This window comes from Homo sapiens, chromosome 2 (assembly GCF_000001405.40).
Source record: "Homo sapiens chromosome 2, GRCh38.p14 Primary Assembly".
Classification (NCBI taxonomy): Eukaryota; Metazoa; Chordata; class Mammalia; order Primates; family Hominidae; genus Homo; species Homo sapiens.
Window position 1 is genome coordinate 29,060,595 of NC_000002.12, and position 14,341 is coordinate 29,074,935.

Consider the following 14,341-nt stretch of genomic DNA (forward strand, 5'->3'; position numbering starts at 1 on the left):
ACCTGATGCAGGGCCCACCGACCATTCACAAAGTTACTTTGTGAAGTCCAGGAGTGCGATCAAGCCTGCAGTGTCCAGGGTCCTTCCTAAAATTGAATTAGAGTGCTGAGTGAATTAACTGTTTGCTCCTCTTCTTGTGTGATGCATTTTTAATTACATTTCATAAAAACGTCTGGATGGATTGATGGAGCTTTAGTTAAACTTCAGGTAGGCAGGGGGAGTAGACGATGGTGCAGTATAACATGTTCTGTTAATACAGGCTCAGAACACATGTACTTTATGGCAGTTCAACTGAATCTTTGATGTAGGGCTACTTAAAAATATATTACCTTTGAAAAGATTTCCTTTGAAAGATAGAGTGGGTGCTTTAGCAGCCTGTAAGCCGTCAGCCAGACGATCAATTGACAAACACGTCAGCACTTATAATTCACTGCAGCGGCTCCCCTGATACATGCAAAACACTGGTTTATTTCAGAAAAAGAATATATTTCTCAAAATCCCTTTCATTCACATTGTAAGGTTTATGAGGCAAGTCTTGTCAATCCTAGGCCCTTCACAATGAAAGAAAAGTCTCTTTGGTCTGTCTGCCCTGCGTTTCCTACAACATGGATTATTTTAGGCTCTGAACTGGGCATACGATGTGAGGAAGGAGAATAGATACGGCTTAAAGTAAACAGCAGCTCAGACCCCAGCCACGGAGGGAGGTTATATTTCATTTTGAAGATTGTATTTATACTTGCAAAAAGCTATCACTGTTCTGCCAGAATATGATGTTTACTTTTTTTTTTTTTCTCCATGAATCCTTTTGATGGGAGCAGAAAATTCTGTTTTTTTCCCTGGGGTGGAACTGTTTACAGTGTCACTAAAGTGTTGGGTAAAGGGCTGGGCTCAGTACCTCCCTCTCCACAGCTCTGGGGTCTCCATGGTCGGGAAGATGAAAGCTGTGCTCCTCCAGAGTGGAGCTGGCCCGAGTGAGAAGATGGGTATGACATGTACCCCTTAGATTGATCTGTGGTGGGTTCCTCCTTCTCTGCATCCCGGACAGTCCTTGGTTTCTAACTCTATGAAGAAAAAGTATAGACTCATGGGTCTTCAATGAGTTGGGTTCATTGGCTTAATAATTTTTATTAAAACAAAAAGCAGAACAAAGAAAAACTGTCCTCCCTTCCCCCTTGGGCAAAGGAAGTGGATTTGGCCCAGCAAGGATACCATTCTTGGGTAGAAGGGAGATGGTGGGCGTGAGCAGCCCTTGTCTGAGAAGCTGTACAGCTGGGTTTGCCCCTCCTGCCACCAGCAATGCGTGCTCCAAGGCAGACTCAAGTTTGTGGAAGACCTGGTCTCTAGGAGGCAAAACTGACCAGATGCCACAAAACTGTTCCATTGTGGATTTAATTCCTTTTGTACAAAGTCTAATTCACATGTAATTTGAGCTAAGTCTGGTAGTTGGTATGGTAGCCAAAAACACATCTTTGACCCGCCTGCTCCTATGTCGGCTCAGCACTGCTTCACCTTTGACCTAATTGACCCCCAGCCCCCAGCACCTTGGCAACCCCTCCCCATCTTCCCTGGAGTGGGGGAAGCTGACTTGGAATTCCAGTAGCCTAAGGTTACTGGGCAACACAATGGTGTCACCAGCTCACTGTCCCGGCTGCCTGGGTCTGGTGGCAGCTGGGGGCTTTTATGACATCGTGTGTGGGGACCTATGGCAGGAGCCTCGCCCTGTCCTGGCACACGTTGGCCCCAAGCAAACGTGGAGGTCCTCCAGAGGGACAAGGAGGCATCATGGGCATCTCCACAGCTGATGGCAGGATCCCGGGTGCCCTGTACCCCTTCGTCTGCTGCCTGCAATATGGTGGGTGGGCACTTCCTGCTGCTTGCCAGCCTAGCCTGGCGAGGGACAACCTCTAGTCTCAGACAGCCTCCTGCCATGCATGCTCACGGAAAGCACCGTTGTTCATTCCGGACCCTTCCTGCGTGTTCTCCATGATACTGACCCCTTCTGTGGTGGAATAATCTGCCTGGCTCCCTGCTGCCGCTAGCTTGCATGGCCACAGCAGGGGGCACTCGGCCACCCTTTCCACTTTCTACCCAGCCCTGGACTTTTAAGATGAGGCCCTTTACGGAAGGAGGCCTGGGCTGGAGACTCAGCCTTGCTTCCCCTCACTGCTGGAGTGGCTCCACTTCATATCCCGGTTCCAGTAATGAAAATGTGTATAATTCCTGGGGTTCCACCCCTCATGGTACCCCAGTTTCACCCACTGTGTCCCACTCCAGTCTCCCTGCAGCTGGGGAACAGCTTCGTTTCCTCGGACCTCCAGGAATCCTGCCCCTAAATCTGAGCCCAGGCAGGGCCCACTTTCTGAGCAGTCCCACCTGAAGCCACTTACTTGTGAGCTAGACCTCAAAGGCCGCTCACACTGTGTGTCTCCTGCTCACTCAGCTCAGTGCCCAGCTTACCTAAGGCTCACCCCATGGTGACCCAATGGTTGGTCTGCCCAACCATTTAGGGAGAATGCCCAGATCTCTGTCGGGCAAGTTTGCTGAACCTGGTCCATCCTCACGTGCTTACCTTGGCCCCTGCCCTGCCTGGGTGGCTGGACTTCCCTGCGTTGCCTGCAGTCCAGGCAGCTCCTAAGTGTCCACCCAGCAGTGGGTGTGGCTTGGCTCTAGAATCGGCTGGCCTGGGCACTGCCTGAGCACTTCTCTGAGATGAGGGCGGCAACAGGAGCAAATGCGAGCAGACAGCTGGGTGTGTCCCTTTCCAGCAGAGGGGTGGGTTGTGGCCCCTCTTGGTAGTTTAATCAGCTGTTCTTTGGGTGCCTTTGAATAATAATTGGACAAGTCAAGGTGGGATTCATTTACTCAGAGTCATAGCCTCTCTCTGGGGGAGGTTGCTATAGTCCCTAGGGACCCAGTTTAACAAGTTTTTGAGCCCACAGTCCCAGCAAGAATGGGTTTGAGGTCTATAATTACCCCAAACTTTAAAAATCAGCTTTGCAGCAGATCTGGAGGATCGTCCCTTTGCTGTACCCCAGTGGGTAAGAATTCTTGTCTTTTGCCAACCCATTGAGCCGGCATTGAATCACTCAATTACTGCAAAATCTTTTCTAAATAGAACGCACACCACAGCCTCCAGTGGAAGCATTCCAAGATCTGCAGCAAATATCTAGCTCATTGGCAGAAGCAGGTTTTTGGCATGAACAACTGTTTTTCACTTTGATTTCGACTCCAGCAGAAGTTCTGCAAGATGACCTGGGAATAAAGTTGGCCAAGAAGCCTCCGAGGGGAGATCGGCGTGTGAGTACGTATGCCTCACCCACGCTATCTTCTGAGCTCCAGCACCCACGGCATGTGGAGAATGGGCTGCCTTGTTTGGGAGGCTTGGTTTACCCTACTCCGTCGAGAAGCATGTAATGCGTAGGGCAGTGAGAGCATTTGCTACATGCTTAGGCCGAGAGGCAGCGTGGCTGGTATTGTGAGCTGTCAGCTTTAAGTTTACAGCATTGAAACTGAGCTTGGGAAGGAGGAGAGGACAGAGGACGGGTGGGGCTGTGTGTTTTAATCCTGGCTCACTCAGCCTTCTCATTTTGGGAGCCATGCACTTCTAAACAAAGCTCTCAATAGGGACTTTGTCAATGCTGTGCCGCTACTTAACCTTACAACAAAGAAGCTTTGCGACCATTTGCGCACCCATGTCTGCTTTAGGCAGGTGGAGTGACGCAATAGTTACGGGCAATGGAATGTAATAAAAAGAGCAGAGAGATTCTAACACCAGACTCATCTGTGCAAAATTTTGCTCTATTCTCTTCTTAGCTGTATGACCTTCAGCCAGACACTTGAGGGGGCCTCTCCCCACACCTTCGGTTTTCATATGCGCAAAACTGAAGAATGCTATGTGCTTCATTCACTGTTGTGAGGCTTAAGTGATCTCAAGGAATGAACCCAGTTAAAACCCTATCAAGCATGCAACTATACATTCTCCACCCCCCACCCCACCCCAAATTAAGGCCAGCACTTGAAGCATTAAATACTGTCATTGTGGGGTCTAAAAGTTCTGGTTAACCTTTGAACCCCAAGGCAGAGCAAGATCTGGGACTGAAAACGGCGATTGTTTAAAATTCAGCAGACCCACTGGGCAGTGCACCTTCCAGGCCTTTCCAGGACACCTCAGTAGGAGTTTGGTTTGCCCATCATCTCTGGGTCAGGCTGGACACTTGGCTGTCACACTTGGCCTTCTGGGGTGACTGCGTGAGTGTGGCCCCCTCGTCAGCCTGTCAGGACACCTCCTCTTGCTGGGGCTGCGCCTCTGGCTGGGATTTGTCCTGGATGTGGCCGGTCCGAGGCTCCGGTTGCAGCCCGTGGCCCAGCACACAGAACTCTGGGGGAGATGCACGCCTGGTGCCGCCCTGCAGTTCAGGGGAACAGGGGCTGCTCCCCGGCTCTGTGTCCTTCTTAGGGCTCTCCTCGCTGCTGCTGCCGAGAGAAAGGACAAGTGCAGGTCAGACACTCCTCCTCTGCTGCTCCTTCCTGCCCCACCCCTGTCCTCCATTCTCCCTTTCTGTCCCTCCCCAGCCCTCTCCCACAAGCCTGTTCACCCTGGGTGCCAGGCCTCTGCCCTCTGTACCAGGCTTGCCAGGCTGGTGCCGCCATTGCCGTGTGCCTGCAGGGGTGGGCGCTGTGGGAGCTGGGGTGACTGGCTGAGTCCTGTTCTTTCCCCTGAAGCCCTGGATCCTGCTGCTCTGAACAAAGCAACTCCCTCAGAAGCTCTGGGAGCTGGGCCTTTATTTTGTTTTTGTTTTTAAAGCACTTCTTGTTTAATAAGGGTTAGGCTTAGCCAGTTGAATTAAAGACAACAACAACAACAAGGAAAAAACCGGCTTCGCTCAGCTGCCACCCTTTTCCCGAATAGAGAAAAATGCAAACAGCTTGGCCCAGCGCAGGCCCCGCATTTGGCTGGAACAGAGATTCTCAGCTGCCAAGTGACACAGCTAAGAGGGGCTTTGCATGGGGAGAGGACCCCCACAGGAGCCTGAGTGGGATTTGGGAGTGCCTTGGGAGTGCAGAATGGAGGGTGGCCCTGAGCATGGAGCAAGCTTTGGCTAGCAGGGGACCTGCCCAGGAAACCACACTGGCCGTCTGCTGGCAGGACAGCCTGAGGCTTCCCAGAGTGGGAATTAGAGGCTGACTGCCTGGTTTCAAGTCCTGACTCTCTGGCTTATTAGTTCACCCCTCTGAATCTTTGCTTCCTTCCTTATAAAATGGAAGTAATAGGCCGGGCGTGCTGGCTCACACCTGTAATCCCAGCACTTTGAGAGTCCTAGGAGGGCGGATCACCTGGGGTCAGGAGTTTGAGACCAGCTTGGCTAACATGGTGAAACCCCATCTCTACTAAAAATAGCAAAAATTAGCCGGGCATAGTGGTGGACACCTGTAATCCCAGCTACTCAGGAGGCTGAGACAGGAGAATCGCTTGAACCCGGGAGGCAGAGGTTGCAGTGAGCCGAGATTGCGCCATAGCACTCCAGTCTGGGCAACAAGAGTGAAACTCTGTCTTAAAATAAAAATAAAAATTAAAAAAGGAAGTAATAATAGTACCCAGCTCATCAGGCACTCATAGGTATCAATACTGGGTGAAGCATGGAAGACCCTTGGCATACTATTGTATTAATAGCATAAGTGCCCCATAGGTGGGTAGTGACACTATGGAGCTGCATTGTTGAATGAACAGGAAGTCACACTAGGAAAGGACTCTAGGGACCACACTATCCTACTACAGGGACTATGAGGCCTTGGTCAGAGCTCTCAATCAGTTGCCTCAGGGCCAGGACAGGACCCTAGTTCCCCACATGCACAGGCAAGAAGGCCCTTCTCTCTGCTCGCGACAGCACATTCTTGCCTGATCTGTGAGCTTTATTGCACAATGTGCTCAGCTCTGTGAGGTCAGGCTTACATGGGATGCCAAACCAGTGGAGAATATGTTTGCATTTGGATCTGAACAAGATCGAGGTGGGTGGTAGGAGTCGTGGGTAAGTGGGGTGGGCGCTAAGACCAGCACACAGCTATGGTTGTCAGACAGGAAGGAACCCAACTCACTGTGCCATGGAGCCAATCTCATCTGTGTTGGCCTCCGGCCCCATCACAGGTCCCTACAGGAGTTCAGGGCCCAGGGCCCACTGGGTATCTGATCCAGGAGACTGAGTAAGGGCGGCAGAGCGTGCATGCCTGGGCAGTCCAGGCCAGGTGAAGACTGAAAACACCACATTGAGGGGAGAAAGTCTGGAGCCTTCTCAAATGCACACAGTGCCCCAACATCCTGAGACCTAGAGGCTGGTAGCTCTGCTGGGGGATTTGGCACAGAAATAACAGTTGAAGCTCAGTAATTGAGCTTCCTGGGTAAGCCTCCAAGGGCTGTTCCCAATCCCCAGGTCCCCAAGATCAGGAGATATAAACATCATCCATTTTTCTAAAAAGGGGGCTTCTGCCTGCACGGAGTGACTGGAAGGGCAGGCTGGTTCAGCTTGCAGGCCTGCCTCAGCTGCAAGACATCATGGGTGTGGTTGTGTCCCTGCATGTCCGTGCTTGGGGAAACAGCCCGTTCTGAGCAGCCTCTGGCTTCCTGGCACTGGCTTGTTGCATGATCTTGGGGAAATCATGCCTAGTCCCTGGTGGTGTTTCCCCATATGCAGGATGGCAGAAAAAAATGCTTGCCATTCACAGGGTGGCAAAGGCTTGATATGCTTACAGCAGGTGCACTTCTGCTCCCAGATGCCAACTTTATACCTGGGGGCAGGGGTGCTGGGGAATGAGCACTTTCCCATCACATGCTCACAGTGTGGGAAGGCTTACAGCTGTGTGGTGTCATAAGAGGCGGGGGAATGGTTGCGAGTCATTATACAACCTTCCACGTGACCTTGGGAAGCGTCCTGTTTATGAACCCTCCCCTCTCTCTCTTTTTTTACATTTTTCTCTAGATGAGGTCTCACTCTGTCACTCAAGCTGGAGTGCAATGGCACGATCTTGGCTCACTGTAACTGCCACTTCCCAGGTTCAAGCAATTCTTGTGCCTCAGCCTCCCGAGTAGCTGGGACTACAGGTGCGTGCCACCATACCCTGCTAATTTTTGTATTTTTAGTAGAGACGGGGTTTTACCATGGTGGCCAGGCTGGTCTGAAACTCCTGACCTCAGGTGATTCACCCACCTCAGCCTCCCAAAGTGCTGGGATTACTGGCGTGAGCCACTGCACCTGACCGTCCTCTCTCTTTCAAGCCACTGTTACCTCCCTGCCGCCCCTGCCCCAAGTATTGAGATTCAGGACACAAAACAACCTTTTAGGCTGCCCTATTCTGAGGAGAAGGCTGAGAGAAGGGCATCATTTTCTTCTTGAACAATTTTATGTTACTTTATTATTGCTCCTGCTGTTTTAAAATGTTAGTGTTTTTAATTAATGCCATTTTATTGTCCCTGTTCTCTCAAGCTCTTCTGCTGAAGGGCACAGTTCTAGAAATCTAATAACTGAATAAGTGGCGGGAGTGAGGAATAATGCATTAACATTTATAGAGATTCTCAGATGAAAACCACTGTACTGTAGGAAGCTCATTTTAGATTTAAGAAAAGAGCAATGTTACATTAAGATTCTTGCAAAAATAATCAATATTTCATTTCTTTCAAGTGGCTGGGGAAGTTTATCTAACTGTAATAATGCACAACTTTCCCAAGATAATATCTTTATTTTACATTGACTGCCGAGTACTTTGTAAAAAATTACCATTTGTGCCTGGACAGATTGTGAAGTCTGCAAAACGTATCACTCTGGCAGAAATTAACTGCTGATTTACACAATCGTGGGCTATGCAAAGATAGCAAGGACCGATGTTAGTTGAGCTTTGTCTGATCTTGATAGACACATTAATAAGAGTTCTTCTCTAATAGACCTCAGACATTTTTTTTTTGTTTCTATGCCAGGTTGGGAAAAGGCACATTTCCCCGTGTATTCTGTAAAATAACCACTTGAGCATACGAGTTCTTCTTTCAGTGTCCAGTAATGGCTACACTTTGACTCACGCCCCATTGCGGCTGCATGCCTGGGCCTGTCTGCACGGCTGGACCAATGACATGCACGTCCATTGCCCTGATGAGAAAGGCACACTTGGAACTCAGCCTGCCCGGGGGAGAGGTAGCAGCCCCACCCCTGGATTCTGGTGCTCAGCACTCATGAAGACTCTTGTTCTCACTCTACAAACTTTTGAAGTTAGAGGAGAAGTGGAGCTAGGTCCTTGGGGATATGGGAAGCCACACATTTATATTCTATGCCTCCAGGACTAGCCATTCTCAAAGTGTAGTCTGGGGGCCCCTGGTTATTCCTGAGACACTTATAGGGGGCCCACGATGTCAAAACTATTTTCATCATAATACTAAGATGTCACTTCTCTTTCTCACTCATTCTTTTGTGAATGCAGGGTGGAGAGCCCCGCGTCTACATGAGGTGTGAGATCCCAACAGGTTGACAATGGAAGCAGAGCTGAGAATCCGGTCATCTTATATTAAGCCAGATGCTAAAAAGGTTTGAAAAAATGTAAGACAGTGCTACTCTTCTCCCTAAATTTTTTGTTGTTGTAGAAGATACTCTTTTCATAAAGACACATGCATGCAAATGTTCATTGCAGCACTATTCACAATAGCAAAGATATGGAGTCAACCCAAATGCCCATCAATGACAGATTGGATAAAGAAAATGTAATGCATATATATACCATGGAGTGCTATGCAGCCATAATAAAGAACAAGATCATGTCTTTTGCAGGCACATGGATGGAGCTAGAGGCCATTAATTATCCTTAGCAAACTAACCAAATACTGCATGTTCTTACTTATAAGTGGGAGCTAAATGATGAGAACTCATGGGCACAAAGAGGGGAACAGTAGACACTGGGGCCTCCTTGAGGGTGGAAGGTGGGAGGAGGGAGAGAGCAGAAAAAATAACTATTGTGTATTATTAGTACCTGGGTGATGAAACTATCTGTACAATAAACCCCTTGTGACACAAGTTTACCTACATCACAAACCTGCACATGTACCCATGAACCTAAAATAAAAGCTTTAAAAAAAGTGGACACAAGAAAATACACACTTTTTATAAGAGTATATTATTTGTGTTAACGTATTTTTTAAAAAAATAATAAATATTTTACATATTTCTCAGTTTTAACTTCCAATACAGTAAACATTGATAGATATAGCCTCCACACGCAAAGGCTCTTTTGGGCTCTTAATAACTTTAAAGGGTTTAAAGCCATCCTGGGACCAAATAGCTTGAGAACCTCCCAACTAGATGCTGGTCTCCTGCGGGGAACCAGAAACATGGGGAGCCAGGCTGCTGGTTTGAGACACGGCACCAGTGAGCCAGCCACAGGGGCAAGCCTTTTCATCTCAGTTTCCCCAGCTGTAAAACATGGGGTGTGTGGGGTTGAACTAACTTGAGTGTTTTGAACTTTACTATTTTATTTTTTTGAGATATATATATATATTTTTAAGTTCTGGGATACATGTGCAGAACGTGCAGGTTTGTTACATAGATATATTTGTTTCATGGTGGTTTCCTGCACCTATCAACCCATCATCCAGGTTTTAAGCCCCGCATGCATTAGGTATTTGTCCTAAGGCTCTCCCTCCCCTTGTTCCCTACCCTCCAACAGGCCCCGGTGTGTGCCCTTCCTGTGTCCATGTGTTCTCATTTGAACTTGATTTTTTTTAATACAGCAGGGCCTCTTTTCAATTAAAATATTTCCTAGGCAGCTGGAATGTGTAACAGATAAGAGCACAGTAACTCAAGGTTGGAGAGTGGGGGAGCTGGAACTGCCCCCTACACCTTTTTCCCAACTGCCTCTTCTCTTGGAGCACAGTTTGAAAACTACTGAGACCCAGAAGATCTTTTGGCCCATTCGCTCTGTTCCTCTCTAGTCCAAGCCGCTGAAGGGCAGTGACCCCAGGACACTCCTTACCTGTTCTGGCCGAGCTGGGATTCATAAGAGGTGCTGGTGGGGTCCAAGGTGGGAGGCTGCGGTCGGCCACCTGGCTGGCGGTCAGAAGCTGTCCTCCTGAGGAAAGGCAGAGGGTTGAGGGCACACAGAGCTGCTCTCCGCTGCGAGTCTGCTCTCAGCCAAGGCCCTGAGCTGTTCTTCCAGCATTCTGCTGGGTTCCCGAGAGGGCCCCCAGCCTCTGGCGGCAGCGATGGTGGGGTCAGTGGGTGGGCTGTTGAGAGTGGCGGTTTAGCTTCAAACAGAGAGGAGGTAGCTGGGCAGAATATGGAATGTGTGTTCCCAGACACTTTGGCTATGACTGCTTGGCTGTCTTCAGAGTCTCTTGTTTCCTTGTGCTCCTGAGAAGGGGACATTGGGGGTGATGGGGAGGGAATCGAGAAAGGGGGGCTTGCTTCTGGGTGCTGGGTTGGGGGGCTGGGGACCTTGCACTGAGCAGGTGCACTCTCGGGGGGAGGGTTGGGCAACTTGGGCTGGTGCGGTGGGGAAGTTCGCCGCTTTGTGGTGGGTGGGCTTAGCACCCTGGGGCTCACAGGTGGGCTGGGGGGCGTCTGCACAGCAGAGGGGCTTGGCTGGGCAGGTCTGTAAGAGGAGGGAAGGCTCCGGCGCCTCTTGTCTGCTTGAGGCACCCAGTGTGTCCTCGTGGGAGAGGCCTTTCTGCCCACAGGGGGGCTTCTCTCTCGGCTCTGCCTTGGTCTGGCCAGGCTGGACTCTGAGGTCCTGTTTTGTCCAGATGGAGGGCCGGAGTGGTGCCAGGCGATGGCCTTCCGGGGCTGCCTGTAGAGGCTGGTGGCCTTCTCTGCCTGACTCCAAGTCCCACCCTTCACCTCGGGGCTTTGGCTGGTGGCTGGTGGGCTGCTCAGGTCCAGGGCTGGCTTCCTGGGCTGGCAGCTGCTCCTGCCACTCCCTGGCCCTGTGCTGTGAGGCTTGGTCAGGCTGGCGGTGCTCTTGCTGGGCAGCAAGTCCAGGGGGCTCACAGAGGCCCTCAGCTTTGGGGAAGCCCATGTTCTCCTGGTGGGGCCAGCCTCTCCCGGCCCTGGCTCCTGGGTTTCCTTGGGGGAGTTCTCTGTGGACTTGCTGCTTTCTGGGGACTCCAGAGAAGCGAATGATTTGTCCATCAGAACTTCCATAGGCGGTGGAGGGAGGTGCTCGAGGTTCCCCTCCATTTCACAGCTGAGCTCCTCACTCTTGGCTGCTTCTGCTTTAGGCAGAGGGGGAAAGATAGGTGCTAAGGGCTTCCAGCCTATGCCCATTTTGAGAGATTCTCTGCCTGATGCTGGAGAAATTTGGGGCTTCGGATACAAAGGGGCAAGCCCTGTGTACTTGGGAAATCTGGGGGGCATGATGCAATTCCTGAGGCAGGGACTTGCCCCAGCGTCCTTAGAGTCCCCCAGCATCCTCAGACTCTCCGTGGGACTGAAAGTTTCAATAAGCTTCTTGACGGATGTTCTGGTGGGACAGCCTCTGACATTCCAGTCTGTGGCCTTGGCAGCCTCACTGACCTCTCCTGATGGGATGGCATTTGGAAGCTTCCCAGCTTTGCCTTGTTCGTCCTCAGGATGGGGATTGCATTTCTGCAAGATGCTCTTGTCCTGACTAGGCAAAATACTGAAGTTCTTGGTGAGGGATGCCTTGAGCCTGCTGGTGGTGTTGCTTGGACTGACCCTGCAGGTGCCATTGGGCCACACGGCGGCTGCTCTGGGCTGCAGAATTTGCTCCTGGCTCTGCCCCTGCCCTTTGGCACCCAGGGCATAAAATGCCTCCAGCTTCTGACTGAGGTCCCTCTGGACCCTTCGCAGCTCCTGAAAGGTGGGGTCCTCCACGTGACTCTGGAGACACGACTCTGACTGGGACCTCGTCTGCCTCTCAGGGGCCCTCCTGCTGCCACTTACCGTGCTAGGTCTTGGGGGGACCACTGTCCTCCCCTCCTCCTCCTCAGACCAGTCCTGGTGCCCACAGGGCACAGGGACAAACTTGATCCTTTCGCTGATTGACTCCTTCATCTTCAGAATCATTTCCTGGGCCTGGAGGCTCCTAAGCCTCCTGGTGCGGGCCTGAAATGGGCTTTCCCGGTCAGCAGGTGAAGATTGTGGCCTTGAATGTGGAGTTTTTTCCTGCCAGGCACACAGACTCATGCTGCTCATTTTGTCTTCCTCCTCCTCCTCTGGGCTGCTGTCCTCGCTGTCACTAAGAGATGAAGCGTCCATCGGCCTGGAGGTTTTGGAAAGGTGTGGTTCCACAGAGACCCCAATCCCAAAGGAATCACATGGGGTGCTTGTCCCCAGCTTCAAAGGTGGGGAGGTGATATTTTCTGGGCTTGTACTGGAGAGGCATGGGCTCCTTGCTTCGTCCTGTGCTCGTGGCTGAACCTTTGCCATAGGAGCCCCTGAGAGCAGGCAGTCCTGGGGTCTGCCTGAGCCCAAACAGAATGGACTTTGCTGCCAGGTGTGTCCTGACTGCCTGGCCTCTGTGTGGGGTGAAGTCACCGACTTCCATTCTTCGGGCTCTGGTGCAAGGTCCCAGCTGGTTTGCTTGCCCAGCTTGTCCACCGACTGCACGGACTCATTGTCAGCACCAATGCCACTGTCCTCAGAGCATAAGGGGAGACCCTGCACCCCAGGGTCGCCACAGCCACTCGCCAGGCTCTCTAGCTGCCTCAGAGCCCTCAGGAGGCGTTCATCCACATTCCTTTTTGTGCTCAGCTTATTTTCCAAGTGGGTTGCAGTGGAGTGGAGGTAGCTGCTGGAGCCCTCCAGGAAGCTGCCGGTGAGCGAGGCCACTGTGCCATTGAGCACCTGCAGCTTGCTGACTGTGTACTGTAGCAGCTGTTGCAGGAGATTTGGCTGCTCCTGGGGCTCTCTTTTCTTCAAAGGCCAAGCCAGATCCTCCCTGACTTCCTGCAGGAGCACTTCTCCATCCTTGGAGATCTCCCCCAACAGCTGGCTGATCTCCTCAAAGCACAGCAGCAAGAAGCTGACCATGGGCTGCAGCAGCTCCCGGGTCTGGGTGGCCTGATGGATGATGCACAGAATTGCTTCATATTTGGAGAGGCTGGAGTGTAGATAGGTGTAAGCCTGCTGGTGGGCCTTTACCAGAGGCTCCGGGAAGTCCACTTTGCCTTCAGGCTCATGAGCAGGGTGGATGGTTTGGTAGCAGTGGCTCTGTGTGCTTGACGTGTGACATTTTGCTGTCCTTTTCCATTTGGAAGTATCTTGGGTACTACTTTCCTCACTCTCATCTCCAGAAAAGTCTGCCCCTTGTGATCCATGGGAACCCTGTGTCTTGAACGGAATATCCTTAGCCATGTGGCTTTGTGATTTGTTCAGCTGGGATGAAGAGGTTTTGGTTCCTGGGATCAGTCCTTCCATATCTTTCCTTTTGCCTGAAGCAGGATCTCCCATGAGCTGACAAAGACCTTTAGCTGTGGTTTGGTTCCTCCTGGGACTTGGCTGCTCCTCTGCCAGGCCCTCCCCAGCGTCATAGCAGGTGGAGTTTTTAACCAGCAAAGGGATGGAACCTCTTTCACTTCCGCCCTGACATCCTGGCCGAATTGCTTTGGGCTTTTTCAAGAACTGAATGCCACTCTTTGCAACGCTGTTTACAAGGTCACTGTGTGAAGGTGTACACCCCATGATTTCAGCTTGTAGTCATCTTCCACCCACCTTCACAATTTTCCAAGAATCATATTTGAAATAGGAACAAAAGGCAATCTTACTAGTCCATCCAGGCAATTTTCAGGCCAGAATTCTTTGAAGTCCATGGTACAATATCCTAAACTTGGAACCAGCTTTCTTTATTTTCTTGGTCCAAATGTGAAGAGGGAGTGGTACCTGTCGTCCTGTTGTTGTTCTAAGTTTGGAACCCTCTGCTGTTAGTGAGCAGCGGGACAATTCTGAAGGCTCCCAGCCTGGTGGATTACGGGCCTGTGTTTTGCTCGCGTCCTGACAGATGTGGATAGCAAGTGCAGCTTAAGCCTATTAGGTTAATCATGCCCTAGCCAGTCAGCACTCACAGTGTGTTCTAATATAGAACTTCTCAGCATTTACTATCTTGGGAAGCGGATTATTTTTGCACGTGCTCATGCTTTTAATTCTGTTCAGACGCCTGCCATATGAAACCTAGAGAAATGAGCCATAATTGCAAAGGCTCTGGAAGAGATGCATTTGTGGAAGAGAAGAGAGGGCTCGTTGATTACAGGCCCTGGAAGAGAAGTGACCTTCACGGTTTAATAAGGGCAAACCAGCCAAGTGTGCTCCAATCTGCTGTTATCAAGAAGCCCCCAAAACACACAATAGATAATAATTGA

The 14,341-nt window shown here is 50.8% G+C and overlaps 1 protein-coding gene across 1 annotated transcript, besides 3 other annotated features; it reads right to left on the reverse strand.

Annotated features, from left to right (window-relative positions):
• On the reverse strand, positions 1,101–13,929 carry PCARE (photoreceptor cilium actin regulator). The gene is made up of 2 exons (NM_001029883.3): positions 10,000–13,929; positions 1,101–4,473 (listed from the first exon to the last, which is right to left on the reverse strand). The coding sequence occupies exons 1-2, from the start codon at positions 13,665–13,667 to the stop codon at positions 4,275–4,277; spliced, it is 3,867 nt and encodes a 1,288-aa protein (NP_001025054.1). The 5' UTR covers positions 13,668–13,929; the 3' UTR covers positions 1,101–4,274.
• Positions 2,277–3,191: an enhancer, noted in NCBI's record as "H3K4me1 hESC enhancer chr2:29285737-29286651 (GRCh37/hg19 assembly coordinates)". NCBI's record gives its function as "activates a minimal SCP1, AML or CMV promoter by ChIP-STARR-seq in naive H9 embryonic stem cells {active_cell/tissue: H9 hESC(naive)}" and the evidence as "EXISTENCE:reporter gene assay evidence [ECO:0000049][PMID:30033119]".
• Positions 4,535–5,217: an enhancer, noted in NCBI's record as "H3K4me1 hESC enhancer chr2:29287995-29288677 (GRCh37/hg19 assembly coordinates)". NCBI's record gives its function as "activates a minimal SCP1, AML or CMV promoter by ChIP-STARR-seq in naive H9 embryonic stem cells {active_cell/tissue: H9 hESC(naive)}" and the evidence as "EXISTENCE:reporter gene assay evidence [ECO:0000049][PMID:30033119]".
• Positions 6,519–7,019: an enhancer, noted in NCBI's record as "H3K27ac hESC enhancer chr2:29289979-29290479 (GRCh37/hg19 assembly coordinates)". NCBI's record gives its function as "activates a minimal SCP1, AML or CMV promoter by ChIP-STARR-seq in naive H9 embryonic stem cells {active_cell/tissue: H9 hESC(naive)}" and the evidence as "EXISTENCE:reporter gene assay evidence [ECO:0000049][PMID:30033119]".